Here is a 20,250-nt window from a genome sequence, read left to right on the forward strand (position 1 = left end):
TTTCACCGGGTTAGCCAGGATGCCAGGATGGTCTCGATCTCCTGACCTCGTGATCCGCCTGCCTCGGCCTCCCAAAGTGCTGGGATTACAGGCATGAGCCACCGCGCCTGGCTAAACCAATGTATATCTTAACATGTATTTGATTGATGTCTCATATCACCCTTAAATGTATAAAACTATGCTGTGCCTCGACCACCTTGGCCACATGTTCTCTGAGAGCTCTCTCACCATGGGCCATGGTCACTCATATTTGGCTCAGAATAAATCTCTTCAAATATTTTACAGAGTTTGACTCTTTGTAGACAAGGTAAAAAATTGGTATCTTTGAGTCTTCAATTCTACCTTGAATGCACTAAGCCACGTTAAACCATACCACTAAGCTTTAAAAAAAAAAAATCCTTCAAGCCCTTTTCTCTCTTCTAAATATTTCTTTTAATTTAAGAGGGAAATGGTCCCTTTCCCAGATATTAGTTATAGTGCTTTAAAATGAAAAGAAACTTATTGGCCGGATACAGTGGCTCATGCCTGTAATCCCAGCACGTTGGGAGGACAAGGCGAGGGGATCACCTGAGGTCAGGAGTTCAAGACCAGCCTGATCAACACGGCGAAACCCTATCTCTACTAAAAATACAGAAAATTATCTGGGCGTGGTGGCACACGCCTGTAGTCCCAGCTACTTGGGAGGCTGAGACACGAGAATCGCTTGAACCCGGAGGCGGAGGTTGCAGTGAGCCGAGATAGTGCCACACCACTCCATCCACTCCAGTCTGGGTGACAGAGTGAGACTCCGTCTCAAAAAAAAAAAAAGCCTACCATCACGATTCTTTTTATTGGCTTACATTAGTGGTGGAATTTTTTCCATCTGAATAATTAAAAATGAAACTTGACTCAGATGGTAGGAGCAGGTAAAAAATAAAGATTAAAAATAAAAACTTGCCGGGCATGGTGGCTCATGCCTATAATCCCAGCACTTTGGGAGCCTGAGGCGGGCAGATCACCTGAGGTCAGGAGTTCGAGACCAGCCTGGCCAACATGGTAAAACCCTGTCTCTACTAAAAATACAAAAATTAGCTGGGTGTGGTGGCGCCCACCTGTAATCCCAGCTACTCGAGAGACTGAGGCATGAGAATCGCTTGAACCCAGGAGGCGGAGGTTGCAGTGAGTCAAGATCGTGCCACTGCACTCCAGCCTGGGGGATGAAAGCAAGCTTCCGTCTAAAAAAAAAAAATTGCTGCTTTTTTTGCCCTGTTCAGTTCATGAATGAATTTTTAGTAACTTGTAAGCTATGGGCTGAAACTTTTAGGCAGCTAACCTAATTCTGTCATCTACTCAGGTAAGAGAAACAGAATTTATATGTGAATACTTGAGTTTAAAGGCCAATAAGTAGTGATTTTGTTTTTCTAGTCTTGTCCTGTTTTTTCCATCCCATCCATTTTCTTCCTGCACACTGCACTACTATTAAATACCTCTTGCCAAAATTTGGTTTTTGTCATGTTCAAGACTTACTTTTAATGTATTTGTTCACTTATTCATTCTGCAGATATTTAGTGCCTACTCTGATCTGGGCAGTGCTCAACTCTGAATTCTTCCAACCAGCTGTGCATGCTGCCATCCTCTCTCTTATGCAGCCTTAAGTTTGTCTGTCCATGGTTCCCATCTTTGCTTTATATCCCTGGTCTTACCACGCTCTTCTGAAGTACCCATCCTTTCCTTCAAATACTTTTAGGAAAAAGGTCTGATAATAGTGATTTATAATGTAGTTGGATTTAAGTCGTTGTTTTACGTCTCAAGAGGCATTTACATTTTGACTTTTCCTATAAATGTGAATGAAAAGATACCTCTTTCAAAAAATTTAGAGCTTCCCTGTGCAAGTGTTGGAGGTCTCAGGGAGGAGAGTTCTCCCTGCTGGTTCTTTTGAATCACACCAAATGAATGGCTTGCTACTGTTCCCTCACACCTTCATATTGTCCATGGTTTTTCCCACCTCCTTAGCTATACAGCTGCTGTTCCTCCTGCCTAAAATGTCTGAACATTCCCTCAGTGTTCAGCTCAGCCCACATCTTACATCTTCCCTAAGGATGTTTTTCTGCTGCTATCATTCATTTTCTTCCTATGAGTTCCTCTGTTATATTGCGTCACCATCACTGAGGTTGGCATTTCTTCATTCTTTGTTTCAATTGACTCATTTCCTTTCTCCCAACTTAGTGTCTTCTTCAAGAACACTGATCCTGTATTTCTGTTTTCTATTTAAACAGTGCCTAGCAAAGAGACAGGAATGGCAGTCAATGAATACCCAAATAGACATGAGAATATGTCTAGGCCCATGTATATTTATGTATATTTTATCTAGCAGCATTTTGCTAAATGAATTTATCCTTCATTAGAAGAAGAAAACATATCATACTTAAGGACCATTATTAAAAATTCTTAAAAGTAAAAAAATAGACCTGTCTGGGCACAGTGGCACATGCCCGTAATCTCATTACTTTGGGAGGCTGAGGTGGGAGGACTGCTTGAGGCCAGGAGTTTAAGGCCAGCCCAGATAACATAGTAAGACCCCATCTCTAAAATCAAAAAAGAAATTAAAAATTAGCCAGGCACGGTGGTATGCACCTGTAGTCCCAGCAACTCAGGAGGCTGAGGTGTGGGAGGATAGTGTGAGCCCAGAAGTTCAAGGCTGTGGTGAGCTAGGATCACTCCATGCACACCAGCGTTATGACAAAGCAAGACTCCATCTCAAAAAAAAAAGAAAAAGAACAACTTTTTTTTTCTATAAATGCTAATATCTGAAGAAAATTTTGATTTTTACTTCTTAACAGGTGGTTTGTTCTGGATGCAGAAACCAGAGATCTAGTTTCTATCCACACAGACGGGAATGAACAGCTCTCTGTGATGCGCTACTCAATAGGTAGGCAAATTTACTCCCACCTCCCAAGCATGGCATTCACAGCACTTCACTGCAATTGCATAGTTTTACTTCTAATAAGGCTGACTACTTTTTTCTCTCTTTAGAGTTGTTAAGTATTAAATCTGTTTCCCCCAACATCAAATTAAATTCTGCTGCCAGAAACTGCAAAAGATCTGCTGAAGTTTAAACAACATTCTGAATCATCAAATTTAAAATGGACAGCTGCATTTGCAATTGAAAGCAGAATAAAGTGCAGTCAGATCCCCTTTTTCCGGAACTACACATACTTAGAATTTTGAATAGGTATTAGGCTAAATGTCACATCTGGTTAGCAAGCTTTTCTTTATTTATAAGAGAATGTAAAAGAAATTACAGCGAAATTCAAAATACGCAAATTGTATAGGCCCTTCAAGTCCTTTAGAATCTAGTGCATTGTTTCGGTTACATAGTAATGATTGGTTTGTTAATTAAATACTTAGCAATTCTCTATAAGAATTTGATATATTCCTTTAGCCTGCTTGAGAATAATTATTTGTACTTTATTCACAATATTAAGTTTCTGTGATAATACTCCAGTTACCTTTTCTTGTTATTAATGTAGCTTTGATTCACACCACTCTTCCCTGGAGTTAGTCTGACATTGTCTTTATTTGAAAATATATGCCAATAGTTGTTGCATTAGCACAGGATCCAGAGAATCTTTTTGATTGCTTCTCAGTTGTTTCAAAGGAAGCACAGAGAGTAGTATTCTTTAAATTGAACAAGGAAGGAAAAGTATGTACTTTAAGCTATAAGCCTTTTGAGTCCTCATGAAGCACAAAAATTTTAACATTTTTCTGGGGTTTGTTTTGTTTTATTGTTTTTTAGTGTTGTAGTAGCAAATAACCACTGCAAATATAGCTGTCGAATTCCAGAGATGACGTGGACTTTATTGACCATTTGTTACATGCTTAGCACTGTGGTGGGTACAGGGAAGGACACCACAAAAGAAAGGAATATGGTGTCTTCCCAAGAGCACCTGTTCTGTAATTGGACAGATCATATATGCTAGATGAACTAAGCCCCTGTCCACTCAGCCTGCCATGTAAACACTGTACCCTTCCACCCAAGAAGGCAGGATAACCTCTGGAGCCGGTTTTCAACTAACTAGAAGATGAGGCCTAGAGTCCAAGGCCTGTAAGCATCTCCAAGAAGGGATTGTGTATTAGACTGGATGACCATTTATTTTTCAAATGTACTTAGTGGATAGGATTCATTCATTAATTGCCAAATAGTTAAATTGATGAGATTTAACAGCATTTGTAAAATCAGTAAAATAACAGTAAATAAATTTATCAGTATATTTCTCTAGTCAACACTGACCTATTTTATTCTAGATGGTACCTTCCTGGCTGTAGGATCTCATGACAACTTTATTTACCTCTATGTAGTCTCTGAAAATGGAAGAAAATATAGCAGATATGGAAGGTGCACTGTAAGTAGTGAAGTAGAACAAGTTGTAAAATTATTGGGAAATTTTACTTCCGTTAAAAACAAATTTTTACATCGATGTGTGTGTTGTTTCCTGTCGTTAGCTGCTTTAATCTCTGTCTTTGAAAACTGGAACTGGTAATACATGATAGCAGAACATCAGAGTTCCCTGTGTGCTCTAAAAAGACATCTCCTTTTGATGGGGGTGTAATATTTGTCACTCTGTGACTAGTTTTAAAACAGTTTCTTAAAGCTATTTCCATAGGAAACCTTTAGAATAACACTTTTTGAAAATTGAATGAGTCAGAAATAAAAGAACATCTCATGTTTAATCTTAACTCCTATGATTCTGCCCACCTCAACACCCTACAACATCCTATATCACTTCTCTGCCACTGAAAATAAAAGAATGTATATGGATATTTGTCTGCATTTAAGAGAGTTAACAGAAAGGATGTTTCCTGTAATTTATTGCCTACTTCTGCCTTAATTGGGTTATAATTATAGAATGAAAATTGGATTAAATTTCTGTAAGCATGACAAGTACTGAATGTACAGCAGGTATTCCCCTAGCAAACAAAATGGCTTAGGCACCAGGAATATGTACAACATGTGTTCCTTTGTCCTCAAGAAGTACAGTCCAACTCAGGCCAGGAAGAGAAAGGTAGGCAGTGTAGCACAGTGGTTAAGAGCACAGACTCTGAGCCAGACTACCTGAATTTGAATTCTTTAACACTCTTTACCACAAAACAGTTCATTTTAGGGAAACAGATAAAAGAATTAGTTTTTAGAAGCATATACATCTTGTAATAAGCAAAATAAACTTCAATATGGGTCTGAAATTTATTTTGCTTATTATATTTAAGCAAAAACTAGGCCATGTACTATTTGAGGAAGCAGACTTATTTGCCTTTTTGCATATTTTATACCATATATTAAAACCAGAGTCCATTTGTAAACTAGTCTACAAACAACTTCAGAGTTTAGAATTTGTCCAAAATATTTTTGTTTGCCTTGACAATAATGAATCATTATCCATTAATTTATTTAAATCTATCTTTTAATTTATCAACTTAATGTTTGTCTTATGGAATAGTACACAACATGATTAAATGAGATATTCCACCAAAAGAAGTTTTCAGATCACTGAAGTTTACCCTACCAGACCCCCAATTTTTTTTGTTTTGTTTTGTTTTCTGTTTTTTTAATCTTGTTTTCACTTTTGAGACAGGGTCTTACTCTGTCACCCAGGCTGGAGTGCAGTGCCTCAAACTCCTGGGCTGAAGCAATTCTCCTGCCTCAGCCTCCTGACTAGCTGGCACCATAGGTGTGTGCCACCTTGCCCGGCTCACTTTTTTAATTTTTCATAGAGCTGAGGTCTCCCTATGTTGTCCAGGCTGGTCTCAAACTCCTGGCCTCAAGCAGTCCTCCCACCTCAGCCTCCCGAAGTGATGAGATTAGGCATGAGCCACTGCACCTGTCCGGTTTTTAATCTCAACCTTTTTTAAAAAAAAAGTCCATACCTTAATAAACAGTATATCAAATATGACTTAATCTTGTAGAATCAAGATTTTACAGGTAGCCCTGTAGCACTTAGCCCACTTTTCAGAGAAGATTAATGACTTGTCATTGGTGTCATCTTGTGACGTAATGGCAGATCAAGGACTTGAACACAATTCTACTAACTCTTAGTAGAGCCGACTTTCCAATGTACAGTAATGCCTCAGGTTTTTCATTTCGTGTCTTATTTTACTGTACAACTGATCCAGAAGAGAGAGCAATGTGTGACATGGAATAATCAGAATGACTTGGAAGTATTGAGAAATGGCAAGTTTGTCAAATGCATGAGACTTGTCCTAATCCAGTTAGGCAGTTCTTTGAAGCGTTTGAAGAAAGTATTAATTTGAGATACCCATAGGAACTGTTAAAAGTTTGCAGTACCGTTTGAGGTTGTAATGAAAGGTTCAACTATTCTGCGTTCCTAATTGTCTTCGGTTTTGTGCTTTGCTTCTAGCTTTCAGTTCTTGCTGCCTATTTCCACCGGCTGGTCTTATAGTCAGTCCCCTGCTTTTATCTATTGTCTGCTGTTATATAGGACAGGCAAAACTGGGTCAACACTGTCTCTGCTGCTTACTAGTTTGTGACTTTAGGCAAGTTAACTTCTCAGAGTTTTAATTTTATTATCTTAAAACTGGAGTTTATAATAGTTCGTACTTTATAGCATTGTTGTAAAGATGAGGTCTTTTTAAAACATAACAACTAGAACTACTCTCAAAGTTCCAAATACAAATGCTATTTTCTGTTTCTAGTAATTTTCCTGTTAACTACTCAACATTTAGGTGACTGTTATAGCTGCAGAAGCACAGTACGCTTAGAGCTTTAGGAAGTGTCACTAATAAACTATGATATCTCTAATTAAATGTCTGTAAATTATAAATGTCTCTAATAAAAATAATAAAGTAAATCTTATAACTTACAATCTAACAAATTATAAGTTATATGCATTTGGAGTCTCTCTTCACAGTAGCTCTCTTTATGTGGAAATGTCAGTTGAAAAGATGGCTGGTACCCAATGATGTGAAACAGCACTTCTTGGTAGAGGGCAGCTAGCTGATGCATGGGTCCCTTAATGAATGATGACATCATTATAGTCCAGGGCCTTGCTCTCAACTTCATAAGCTAAGAAACAAGCTTATTATTACTCACACCTGTAATCCCAGCACTTTGGGAGGCCAAGATGGGAGGGTCACTGGAGTCCAGGAGTTTGACACCAGCCTGGGCAATTAACCAAGACCCTGTCTGTATTTTAAAAAAAAAAAAAAAGCTGTGCTTAATTTGCTCCAGAGTCATCTGACCTAGTTTTGAACCCTGGGTACACCAATTTTTTGTTAAGTAACTTCAGAAAAGTTACTTAACCTATCTATGCATCCTAACCATCTCACCTACTAAGTGGACATCCTCATTAAGGTTGCCATGAGATTTAGATGTGATGATGTATGCAAGGTACTTAGTAAATATTAGGTATTATTATTAGCATTATTTTCCATGACTAGATGAGCCTGGGTTGTACCTACGGGTATTTTTCAGCATTTAACAGTAATCTATTAAAATTCAAAAATAGTTTTACAATGATGAGCATTGTGTATTTTCCTTGAAAGATTTTAAGTGTCCTGATTGACCTAAAGTTTCTACTCAGTTTTCAGTGGAATATTAAGGTTGTTTTATTATGTACCTGAGTGTCAACATAATGGCTTTCTGCTTGACTCAAATTCCTGTGTACCTTTTAACACTGTTACTCGAAGATCTTAGCCCAGGAGACAGTATATTTAAGTTGCAGTGATATCCTAAAAAGCATTACAAAATCTCTTGGAGTAGGCAAGAAGTGCTGGTAAAAGTAAGTTTGCTTTTTTGCCAGGATTTGGTTAATTGGAAATACACATCAAAAAGAGGGGGAAAAAAAGAGTAAACACTTTATCTACCTAGAAATCGCCAAGAAAATAAATCCTGAAGTTAATGCAGGATTTCAGTAAGGTAATAGAATTCAGTATCACTGTGACGGTTAAGAATTATGTGTAGTACCAGGCCGGGTGCTGTGGCTCACACTTGTAATCCCAGCACATTGGGAGGCCAAGGCGGGCGGATCACAAGGTCAAGAGATCTACACCATCCTGGCTAACACGGTGAAACCCCATCTCTACTAAAAATACAAAAAATTAGCCGGGCGTGGTGGCGGGTGCCTGTAGTCCCAGCTACTTGGGAGGCTGAGGCAGGAGAATGGCATGAACCCGGGAGGCGGAGCTTGCAGTGAGCCAAGATGGCGCCACTGCACTCCAGCCTGGGCGACAGCGAGACTCACATCTGAAAAAATAAAAAAAAAGTAGTACCTATTCACTTGAACACATCAGGGATATGGTCTCATTTAAAAGAGGCCATCAAGAACTCGGATCCTTTCTTTCTAAGCCATCTTATTAGTATGTTGCTTCCATCCTCAACATCATAACATGCTGCTGGAACTCCAGCCATCATCACCTAGTTCCAAGCAGAAGGGATTAGAGCAAGTGACAAAAGAGCACTCCTTCCACTAAGTCAGTTCTCAGAGTTTTCCTGGAAGCCCCACACAATGACTTCTGCCACCCCTAACTTCAAAGGAGCTGGGAAATAATAGTGTTCTAGCTGGTCACTCAACAGAAGGGGGATAATGTGGATTGGAGAGGCAACTAGCAGGCTACACTCTAGTCACTAGGTAAAGACCACTTTTCCTCAAACCAGCAAACGCATATCAAAAATGTGGGAGAAAAAATGCATTCACAATAGCAACAAAAACTAGATGCTTTGAGAATAAACATAGCAACAAAAGCACAGGAAGCTGTGTGAAACATTGCTGAAAGACATAACTAAGATCTGAAAGAATTAGACATAGCATGTTTCTAGATAACCTGATAAAGATATGTTTTCTACAAACTTCTCTAAGTTTGATATGATCTTCAGATTTTCAACATATTTATGGGATTAATAAAATAGTTCTAGTTCATCTGAAATTTTCCACGTATCACAGAACTATCATGGTTGGGAATAAGCAGATAGACTGATGGAACAGAAAAGCATCCAGGAACAGATTTATGTTTTTATGAAGTTTACTAAGTAATAAAAACGGTATTTCAAATCAGTAGAGAAAGAATAGACTTCTCTACCTGTATTTTCCAATATGGCAATTACTAGCCACAACTTTCTGTTCATATCATTAAAGGCAATTCAGTTCCCTGAGAGTGCAGCAACGTTTCAGTTACTTAGAAACCACAGGGGACTAGTTGCTACTGCATTGGACTGCACTGATACAGATATTTTTTATCACTGCAGAAAGTTCCACTGAACAGCATAGCTCTAAATGGACAAAAGTTAGGTCCTAAATTGAGACCTTGGTTGCTTGGTTGCTTGGTTGTTTTTTAACTCCCCAGGTAATTTTAAACCAGTTGCAAACCACTGATTCAGGTGATAATCATCATGCAGTTGACAAAGATTTAACTCAAATATTTCTGAATTTTTTCTTCATAGCCATATTCTTTCACTTTGTCACTTGGGATTATTTTTGTGGTAACGCCATATGGCTATTTAATGACAATAATGAAAGGGCCAGCTTAGAATACTTTTTTGTTTGTCTTCAAGGAGATATACTAGAATTTGCTCCTGTGTTTGTGCCCATGGAGTAAAGTTTGAGGCTTTTTTCTAAGCTGTGCATACACTTTGCATTAGCCTGTGACTTGGGTAGAGGAAGGACACTGAGGTGATTTGTGGGGAGGGTAACATAGACCCCAACAGCTGCATTTCATCTTTTCTTTGCTTATTTATTGGAATTGATGCCAGGCAGAAAATACTTTCATTTCTAAATATGAGTTAATAACTTTCCTAAGATCTTTTCTAAATTTGGGGACTTCTCCTACTCAAGAGTCCTTTTTGAGAATACTTTATGTTGATTTACCTTCTGAAAATAATCTGTGTCCAACATAGATGTTTTTGCATGAATATTATGTATATATACAATGCTTTTGATGCTCTTCTAATTGAACTATTGAAAGCTTTGCACAAAGCTTTGCACAAAGATGCAGATAGTATTTTTAAATACTATTCCATTAGGGTGAAATTCTCAGAGGCCTGTACTTTGCCATGACCAATCTTGTTAAATCTTCATCCACGTAGCAAGTTTTAATTTCAGAAGCATGGCTTCCCCAGACGCCAGAGCCAGGCTCATGTGCACTATGAAAAGGATGTATGAACCCTGCCATACTCAGAAAATAGCCAACATCCATGTGCATCTTGCTGTCTCTGAAAATTGATTTCTTAAGTTAGTAGGTCCCCTGTATGCCTAGCAAGTGATTCCCAACGTGTTTTCCAATATACCGCTTAATTCTAGTGATTTCAGAAAGCTTCACTTCTCAGATTCATATAATTTAAATTGGTTTAAATATGTTTATTTCCCATACAGCACTATGGTGGAGATTATGGCTCCAGAAAGGTTTGGGGACACATCGGTAGACTTCAGAAGGGTACTAAAAGAATTAGAGTCATTGTTCTAATGTAAATCATTAAAAACTATCCCTAAGGTACACTGAATTTGTTAACTTACAAAATAAAATCCTGGTCAGGTGCAGTGGCTCACTATAATCCCAGCACTTTGGGAGGCTGGGGCAAGTGGATAACTTCAGGTCAGGAATTCGAGACCAGCCTGGCTAATGTGGTGAAACCCCGTCTCTACCAAAAAAAAAAAAACAAACAAAAATTAGCGGGGCGTGGTGATGCGCACCTGTAGTCCCAGCTACTTGGGAGGCTGAGGTGGGAGGATCACTTGAACCCAGGAGGCGGAGGTTGCAGTGAGCCAAGATTATGCCACTGCACTCCAGCCTGGGTGAACGAGTGAGACTCTGTCTCAATTAAAAAAAAAAGAAAAGAAAAAGAAAAAGTCTTAGAGGAAGAAAAGAATAGGTGAAAAAAAATAAAGGCCAGGTGCAGTGGCTCACACCTGTAATCCCAGCACTTTGGGAGGCTGAGGTGGGCATATCACTTGAGGCCAGGAGTTCGAGACCAGCCTGGCCAACACAGGGAAACCCCGTCTGTACTAAAAATAGAAAAAATTAGCTGGGATGGTGGTGCACACCTGTATTCCCAGCTACTCAGGAGGCTGAGGCATGAGAATCATTTGAACCTGAGAGGTGGAGATTGCAGTGAGCTGAGATTGTGCCACTGCACTCCAGACTGGGCAACAGAGACTCTGTCTCAAAATAAAAAGAATAAAATCATGTGACCAGAAAGCTAGTAATTGACCGGATACAGTGGCTCATGCCAGTAGTCCCAGCACTTTGGGAGGCTGAGGCTGGAGGATCGCTTGAGCCTGGGAGTTCAAGACCAGCCTCGGCGATGTGGTGAAACCTTGTCTCTGCAGAAAATACAAAAATTAGCTGGGAGTGATGGCATGTGCCTGTAGTCCCAGCTATCCAGGAGGCTGAGAAGTGGAAGGATCACCTGAGCCCAGTGGGGTCAAGGCTGCAGTGAGCCATGATAGCACCATTGTACTCCAGCCTTGGCAACAGAGTGAGACCCTGTCTCAAAAAAAAAGTTAGTAATTGAAAAAGCACAGTAGAAATTAAATGTGTTTGACCACAGACTGTAGGAGGTAAAAGCAAATTCAAGTCTCTGTCAGCTTTGGTGAACCATAAGATCTGTGTAATTTATCTGAAATAGTTTATTGGAAATGCTTAAGTGCTTATACGTGAAGCCAACAAAAATTAGTGTTTCGTAGTTTTTTTGTTTTAATTCCCACAGTGTGAAAACCTAAGCAGAAAAAGATCGTTGTTTCCTGCTTAAGGAATGTTTTAAGGAATCATGATTTTATTGAGACCTACTGTTCTGATGGAGTACAGCGTTGGGTGAATTTTCCCCAAAACATTCTTTAGAGATAGTCTTTCTAGGATACCTCCATAGACCATATACGGGTGCTGTATTCCTCAGCTTCTGAGTTGTACCATGGATAATTCAGAAGTAGCCCAGGAAAACTGTATTCCTGATGCCTTATGCACAACTTATAACCAACACTTCATTCTCAAAAATGGAGTCACTCTCATGGGGACACCAGTGACGTGAAATAAGGCCAGAGGGTGTGGTATGTGTTGCAATGTCCTGTAAGATACAAGTTTAAGAGACTGTCTTTCTTGGAAGTGTCTAATACAGGTAGTAGGTGCTAGTTTCTGGTATCTAGATAGGCCAGAAAGTTTCTCCCAGGTTTCAAGTGCTGAGGATTTGCTGTGAGCCTGCTCAGTTTTAGAGGGTGTGACACTGCTTCCTCTCCTTTAGAAATTCCAACAAATGTGTATTCAGAAACAGTATTGGCTAGCTGTTGAACTGTTTATCATTCAGAACTCTAAATGCTTTCTAACAATTTATCTGTTATTTTCTAGGGACATTCCAGCTACATCACACACCTTGACTGGTCCCCAGACAACAAGTATATAATGTCTAACTCGGGAGACTATGAAATATTGTACTGTAAGTATGAATGATTTTATATATATATATATATGCTATGATTATATTTATATATATATATATATATATATATATATATATATATGCTAAGATGTGTCTGTCAGGGGCGCTAATGAACAGGCTGCATGGAATCTGAATTGTGCAGAGAATGCTTGCCAACCTCTTTAACCTGACAAAGCATATGTTATGCTGAGCTAAGGTAATGAGAATCTCAAATGTGATTCACTTCTCCAAGAGTAATGAATTAATGTTAATAGTGTAGAACAGAAGGCACATATAGTAATAAGAAATTACTCTGTCAAATTGATGCTGCTCTGAATGGTTTTTCATTTAATTACTTCTCCTGGAGGCAGGGAGGAATATGATAGATGGGCATTTATGCTTTTTAGAGGAAAAAAAAAACTTCCATGGGAAACAGTTTGTAGTTTTATAAACCCTGTTAAAGTGAACACTTTCTTTTCCTTTTTAAATGTGTCTTAATGTTTTTCAGTGTATGGATTATAAATACAAGTAAACGTGGCTAGTTTGAATCAAGATGCACTTTCAAATACATTTGTACACAAGCACTATGATTATACTTCCTGTTTCTAAATTTAAAGGGGACATTCCAAATGGCTGCAAACTAATCAGGAATCGATCGGATTGTAAGGACATTGATTGGACGACATATACCTGTGTGCTAGGATTTCAAGTATTTGGTAAGGAAATGACACCTGATGTAAAGAAGTGGTTTGTGGGTTTTTTATATATAATATTTACTTGCTTAAATTTATAAATGAAAAATAGTCTGTGTATTCTTTAGCTTTATCACTATTAATGTCAGCCTCAGAGAAATTAAATGTATTAGGATTGAACCAACATGGGATTTGTATTTTGCAGAATCAAGCACTTTTGGTCCTTAATATGAAAGACAAGGAATTTACATAGTAGTACAGATTACCTTCCCGTTTTTCTTTAAGTGAAAATTGAAGTTATTAAATTTGGAAAGGCATTTTTAAATAGCTTGAGATACATGCCATACAATTCACCTAAAGTGTAAAATTCAGGCTGGGCGCAGTGGCTCACACCTGTAATTCTAGCACTTTGGGAGGCCGAGGTGGGCAAATCACCTGAGTTCAGGAGTTCGAGACCAGCCTGGCCAACATGGTGAAACCCTGTCTCTGCTAAAAATACAAAAATTAGCTGGGCGTGGTGACGTGCACCTGTAATCCCAGTTACGTGGGAGGCTGAGGCAGGAGAACTGCTTGAACCTGGGAGGCAGAGGCTGCAGTGAGCTGAGATTGTGCCACTGCACTCCAGCCTGGGTGACAGAGTGAGACTCCAGCTCATAAATAAATAAAGTGTAAAATTCAGTGGTTTTTGTATACTTAGTTGTGTGACCATCAAGGTCTAATTTTAGAACATTTTCATTACCCCACAAAGAAACTCTGTACCCATTAACAGTTACCCCATCTCTCTTATCCTCTACCCCACCCCCCAGCAACCACTAATCTGTTATTGATTTGCCTTTTCTGTATAGTTTATATAAGGGGAATCATACAATATTTGATCCACTGAGACTAGCTTCTGTGATTTAGCATAACGTTTTCAAGGTTTATCCACGTTGTAGCATACATCAGTACTTTACTCTTTTTATGGCTGAGTAATATCCCATTGTATGGATAGATGACATTTTGTTAATTCATTCATCAGCTGATGGACACTTGGGCTGTTTCTACTTTTCAGCTATTATGAATACCACTGCTGTGAACAGTCATGTGCAGGTTTTTGTGTAGACATGTTTTCATTTCTCTTGGGTATTTACCTAGGAGTAGAATTGCTGAGTCAAATGGTAACTGTATGTTTACTCTTTTGAGCAACTGCCAGACTGTTTTCCACAGTGACTACATTTACATTTCCACCAGCAGTGTACGAGGGTTCTGGTTCCTCCATGTCCTTGTCAGTGTATTTTATTATTATTTTGCGTGTGGATGTCTAGTTGCCTTACACCACTTGTTGAAATACAAAGGCATTTTTAGGAGAATTATATAAAGATAACTATGTGGGGCTTCTTCCTAATCTGACGTTTTGTAACTTTCTGGAAATCCGACCTCTATGACTGTTTTCTAAGCCTTCCTCAGTATTTAGGTATCCTTCTGAAAGGGTTAGAAGATAGATGGAAAAGTTAAAATAATAAAGCGTTATTTGCAAAGAATTAAAAAGAAGTGTTATGCTCAGGTAATTAAAATACTGGATATGGATGTGGCACCAATACCTAAAGCAATACACAAAAATTAATATTTTCTCTTTAACAATTTATCTCTGCCTTCTGAAAATTGGGTTCTCCAGCCTGATCATAGATCTGAACATTTCTTTATGCTATGTGCATTAGGAAAATAATCCATTATAGGTGGTTGTTCTAAACACAAGTGCTATCAAGACAGAGAAGCCTAATAGGCCAGGAAGGAATTAAAAACAAAATAATTCTGTCCATAAACAATTTCATTATTCTACGTGAAAATGAAGCAGTGACCCATAGCTGGTAGCTTCTGTGGTTATTTTAATGAAGACATTATTTATTTAAATTATTAAGAGAGACCAATTTTAAAGTATTTTGACTTGTTTTTAGCAAATTTACCAAAAACATATTTGTTCTCTAGAGTAGCATTCAACCACAAGTGGCCAACATCTCAACCCTTAAATCTTCCATAGTTTCAATCTAGCCTAATAGAGGTTTGTGAAAATTATGTTCGACATGATCATTAGTGCTGCATAATGATTCAGAATAATTAAATTTGACGTGTCTTATCTTGGGACATAATCTTTCCAGGAAAATTACATGGGATAGCATGCTAAACTAGTGGATGGCCTATGCTTTCTAAAAGAAATAATCTCTCTGAGGTTTTCTTGGAGGTGCTTGCCTGAAAGAAAACCTAGACTCCACTTCGAAGACTTGGTGTTATGGCTTTGTTTTTGAACCTTGTCTATACAAGTAACTGATTCCCTCCATCCAGAAACTTTAAAAAGGAAGAGCTTATTGCTGAGGTGTAAGTCAAGCTGAAAGTAAAATAAATTATTAGCACCACCTGCTGGTTACCATTGAGTACCATTGAGTCTTTAAGTTTTCCATTTTGGGGCTATTTTGGTTTTTTATTAGTTAGATTTTGGACAGGACTTGATTTGAATGAAGAACAGTGTGAGCCACTGAGAAATTTGTAAAGGAAATGTTAACAGCTAAGAGTTTGAACATAGATAAAAGCTAAACAGATTCTAAAATAAAATAAACATATATAGCATCACAGTTATATTTCTTCAGCTAATTTTTCTGCATCCCTGTGTTTCCATATCAAAGGTGTCTGGCCAGAAGGATCTGATGGGACAGATATCAATGCACTGGTGCGATCCCACAATAGAAAGGTGATAGCTGTTGCCGATGACTTTTGTAAAGTCCATCTGTTTCAGTATCCCTGCTCCAAAGCAAAGGTAAACTCACTTTAATAGAAACTAATGTTATAAGGCCTTCTGTCCAGGGATGATTTTGCATCCATAGCAAGAAAATATAGGTTACTGATTCCTCTCCATGATACTCCAGTGCACAGAGGGAGATAAGGGCCATCGGTGAGCATCCATCCAGGCAGTGCTTGTCTTCTCCCCCTTCCTAAGGCTAAGGAGAAGTGAGCTGTAGAAATGACGACCGATGATGTTATTCCTGTTTCTTTATTGTCCGGTTGCTTTTTATTTTGATTTGTTGGCAATTTAAAATCTCTCCTAAATATTTTAAAATATTTTATTTGTTGGATACATATTCAACGTTATAAAACTAATGGAACTGTTTCCCGAATGTCCTGTAATCCTACCAACATAGTAAATGTTCCCCTAACCATTTCAGAAGAATAATTACTAAGCTCTGGCAAGTATACGACCAACATCTAGAAGAGACAGACTTTTAGCTATTTTTTTAAACATATAGTGTGAAAATACAGAGATGTCCAATTCTTCTGTTTCGTTTTTCCTATGTAAAGTGATAATAAAAGGAAATAACGGCTAGCCTTACTCCTGAGATTTGATGACTTCTGGCTTTAAATTGGATTGCCCATTTCACAAGCTGAGTTTACCCCCCTTACGTATCACCTCCATTTCTGAAACAGGCATGTCAAGAATGAGTTTAATTTTCCTGTCTGTCTGATTTATTTCATATAGGCTCCCAGTCACAAGTACAGTGCCCACAGCAGCCATGTCACCAATGTCAGTTTTACTCACAATGACAGTCACCTGATATCAACTGGTGGAAAAGACATGAGCATCATTCAGTGGAAACTTGTGGAAAAGTTATCTTTGCCTCAGAATGAGACTGTAGCGGATACTACTCTAACCAAAGCCCCCGTCTCTTCCACTGAAAGTGTCATCCAATCTAATACTCCCACACCGCCTCCTTCTCAGCCCTTAAATGAGACAGCTGAAGAGGAAAGTAGAATAAGCAGTTCTCCCACACTTCTGGAGAACAGCCTGGAACAAACTGTGGAGCCAAGTGAAGACCACAGCGAGGAGGAGAGTGAAGAGGGCAGCGGAGACCTTGGTGAGCCTCTTTATGAAGAGCCATGCAACGAGATAAGCAAGGAGCAGGCCAAAGCCACCCTTCTGGAGGACCAGCAAGACCCTTCGCCCTCGTCCTAACACCCTGGCTTCAGTGCAACTCTTTTCCTTCAGCTGCATGTGATTTTGTGATAAAGTTCAGGTAACAGGATGGGCAGTGATGGAGAATCACTGTTGATTGAGATTTTGGTTTCCATGTGATTTGTTTTCTTCAATAGTCTTATTTTCAGTCTCTCAAATACAGCCAACTTAAAGTTTTAGTTTGGTGTTTATTGAAAATTAACCAAACTTAATACTAGGAGAAGACTGAATCATTAATGATGTCTCACAAATTACTGTGTACCTAAGTGGTGTGATGTAAATACTGGAAACAAAAACAGCAGTTGCATTGATTTTGAAAACAAACCCCCTTGTTATCTGAACATGTTTTCTTCAGGAACAACCAGAGGTATCACAAACACTGTTACTCATCTACTGGCTCAGACTGTACTACTTTTTTTTTTTTTTTTCCTGAAAAAGAAACCAGAAAAAAATGTACTCTTACTGAGATACCCTCTCACCCCAAATGTGTAATGGAAAATTTTTAATTAAGAAAAACTTCAGTTTTGCCAAGTGCAATGGTGTTGCCTTCTTTAAAAAATGCCGTTTTCTTACACTACCAGTGGATGTCCAGACATGCTCTTAGTCTACTAGAGAGGTGCTGCCTTTTCTAAGTCATAATGAGGAACAGTCCCTTAATTTCTTGTGTGCAACTCTGTTTTATCCTAGAACTAAGAGAGCATTGGTTTGTTAAAGAGCTTTCAATGTATATTAAAACCTTCAATACTCAGAAATGATGGATTCCTCCAAGGAGTCCTTTACTAGCCTAAACATTCTCAAATGTTTGAGATTCAAGTGAATGGAAGGAAAACCACATGCCTTTAAAACTAAACTGTAATAATTACCTGGCTAATTTCAGCTAAGCCTTCATCATAATTTGTTCCCTCAGTAATAGGAGAAATATAAATACAGTAAGTTTAGATTATTGAATTGGTGCTTGAAATTTATTGGTTTTGTTGTAATTTTATACAGATTATATGAGGGATAAGATACTCATCAAATTGCAAATTCTTTTTTTTACAGAAGTGTGGGTAACAGTCACAGCAGTTTTTTTTACCAACAGCATACTTAACAGACTTGCTGTGTAGCAGTTTTTTTCTGGTGGAGTTGCTGTAAGTCTTGTAAGTCTAATGTGGCTATCCTACTCTTTTGGGCAATGCATGTATTATGCATTGGAAAGGTATTTTTTTTAAGTTCTGTTGGCTAGCTATGGTTTTCAGTACATTTCCTACTTTAAGAGTAATTACTGACAAATATGTATTTCCTATATGTTTATACTTTGATTATAAAAAAGTATTTTGTTTTGATTTTTTAACTTGCTGCATTGTTTTGATACTTTCTATTTTTTTGGTCAAATCATGTTTAGAAACTTTGGATGAGTTAAGAAGTCTTAAGTATGCAGGCGTTTACGTGATTGTGCCATTCCAAAGTGCATCAGAACTGTCATTCCCTTCTAATATCTTCTCAGGAGTAATACAAATCAGGTATTTCATCATCATTTGGTAATATGAAAACTCCAGTGAACTCCCAAGGACATTTACAACATTTATATTCACACGCTGTATGGAAGGGTGTGGGTGTGTGTGAAGGGGCGAGTGGAGACACTGTGTGTATCTCTAGATAAGAAGATATGCACCACGTTGAAAATACTCAGTGTAGATCTCTATGTGTATAGGTATCTGTATATCTTTCCTTTTGTTTACAACTGTTAAAAAACCTCAAAATAGTTCTCTTCAAAAGAAGAGAGATTCCAAGCAACCCATCTTTCTTCAGTATGTATGTTCTGTACATACTTATCGGAGCGCGCCAGTAAGTATCAGGCATATATATCTGTCTGTTAGCAATGATTATTACATCATCAGATCAGCATGTGCTATACTCCCTGCAAGAAATATACTGACATGAACAGGCAGTTCTTGGAGAAGAAAGAGCATTTCTTTAAGTACCTGGGGAATACAGCTCTCAGTGATCAGCAGGGAGTTTATTTGAGGACATCAGTCACCTTTGGGGTTGCCATGTACAATGAGATTTATAATCATGATACTCTTCGGTGGTAGTTTCAAAAGACACTACTAATACGCAGGAAGCGTTCCAGCTATTTAATGCTGGCAACTACTGTTTAATGGTCAGTTAAATCTGTGATAATGGTTGGAAGTGGGTGGGGTTATGAAATTGTAGATGTTTTTAGAAAAACTTGTGAATGAAAATGAATCCAAGTGTTTCATGTGAAGATGTTGAGCCATTGCTATCATGCATTCCTGTCTCATGGCAGAAAATTTTGAAGATTAAAAAATAAAATAATCAAAATGTTTCCTCTTTCTAAGTGCGTCTTAACTCTTTCTTCATTTATACTGAGAGTTTCCATGACTATCCAGTTATCAGAAGGCATGACAATTCAGAAGACAACATTTATCAGTGGGCTACTGCTGCTGCTGTGGATAAAATCATTCTGGTAGTAACAAACTCCCATCTCATAATGTTAGAGGAAATTACTTCTGATTTATGCTCCCCCTGAATATGTGGATAGCTTTGTTTTCACTTATTTCATGTCAGCACTTTCTCTAATGTTTAATATTGGATAATCCTGATAATCTTCGTTACCCATCCGACTAGGCTGCCTCGCAGTGTTAGCCTTTGTGAAGTACTTGAACTCAGTAGGCCATGGCATTCTCTGCTTTCTCCCATCTCTCCCATGTTGCTTTTTAACGCAGATCTTCTGTATACCACAATCACAAATTGGCTACTACAAATGTTTCTTTATAAAGAATAGGTTGATTGATAGTATTCCAAACATTCCCCAGGTTTACAATCATAGAAATGATGGGGTTTTCATTATTGCCTTACTCGTCCCTGGTGACTGAATATTCACAGCCACTTACTTACATATACTAATCCATGAGAGGCTATCCTGGGGTAGGAGTTCCATTTTCACTGATTCTGAGACAGAATGGCTAGTGGGCACCAAAACAAACCCACTCAACAATGTGATTTTTCTTCACAAGTAAGAAAATCCAAAACTACTTCTATGGCGAAATGATGAATTAGATTTTGGGCACATTGAGGTGTTGTATTAGTGTAACTTCTAGAAGGAACTAGTTTTCCAGCTTAAAGCTGGAAATAAAGGATAAGTACATGTTTTTAGGACCACGAAGGCTGAAGAGCAGATG

General features: G+C 38.3%; 1 protein-coding gene across 8 annotated transcripts in view; it reads left to right on the forward strand.

Moving 5' to 3' along the window:
- The window catches only part of EML4 (EMAP like 4), a 163,196-nt gene extending 143,790 nt beyond the window's left edge, over window positions 1-19,406 (forward strand). For 7 of the 8 annotated variants that reach the window (XM_047443953.1, XM_006711992.3, NM_001410776.1 and 4 more), the window contains 6 exons: window positions 2,820-2,908; window positions 4,285-4,382; window positions 12,325-12,412; window positions 13,012-13,110; window positions 15,744-15,874; window positions 16,592-19,406. In XM_047443953.1, coding sequence (XP_047299909.1) covers window positions 2,820-2,908; window positions 4,285-4,382; window positions 12,325-12,412; window positions 13,012-13,110; window positions 15,744-15,874; window positions 16,592-17,065 — 979 coding nt within the window. In that variant the 3' untranslated portion in view covers window positions 17,066-19,406. The other variant, XM_005264268.4, reaches the window with a different exon arrangement.
- The last annotated feature ends 844 nt before the right edge of the window (window positions 19,407-20,250 follow it).

Source organism: Homo sapiens, chromosome 2, assembly GCF_000001405.40.
Source record: "Homo sapiens chromosome 2, GRCh38.p14 Primary Assembly".
Classification (NCBI taxonomy): Eukaryota; Metazoa; Chordata; class Mammalia; order Primates; family Hominidae; genus Homo; species Homo sapiens.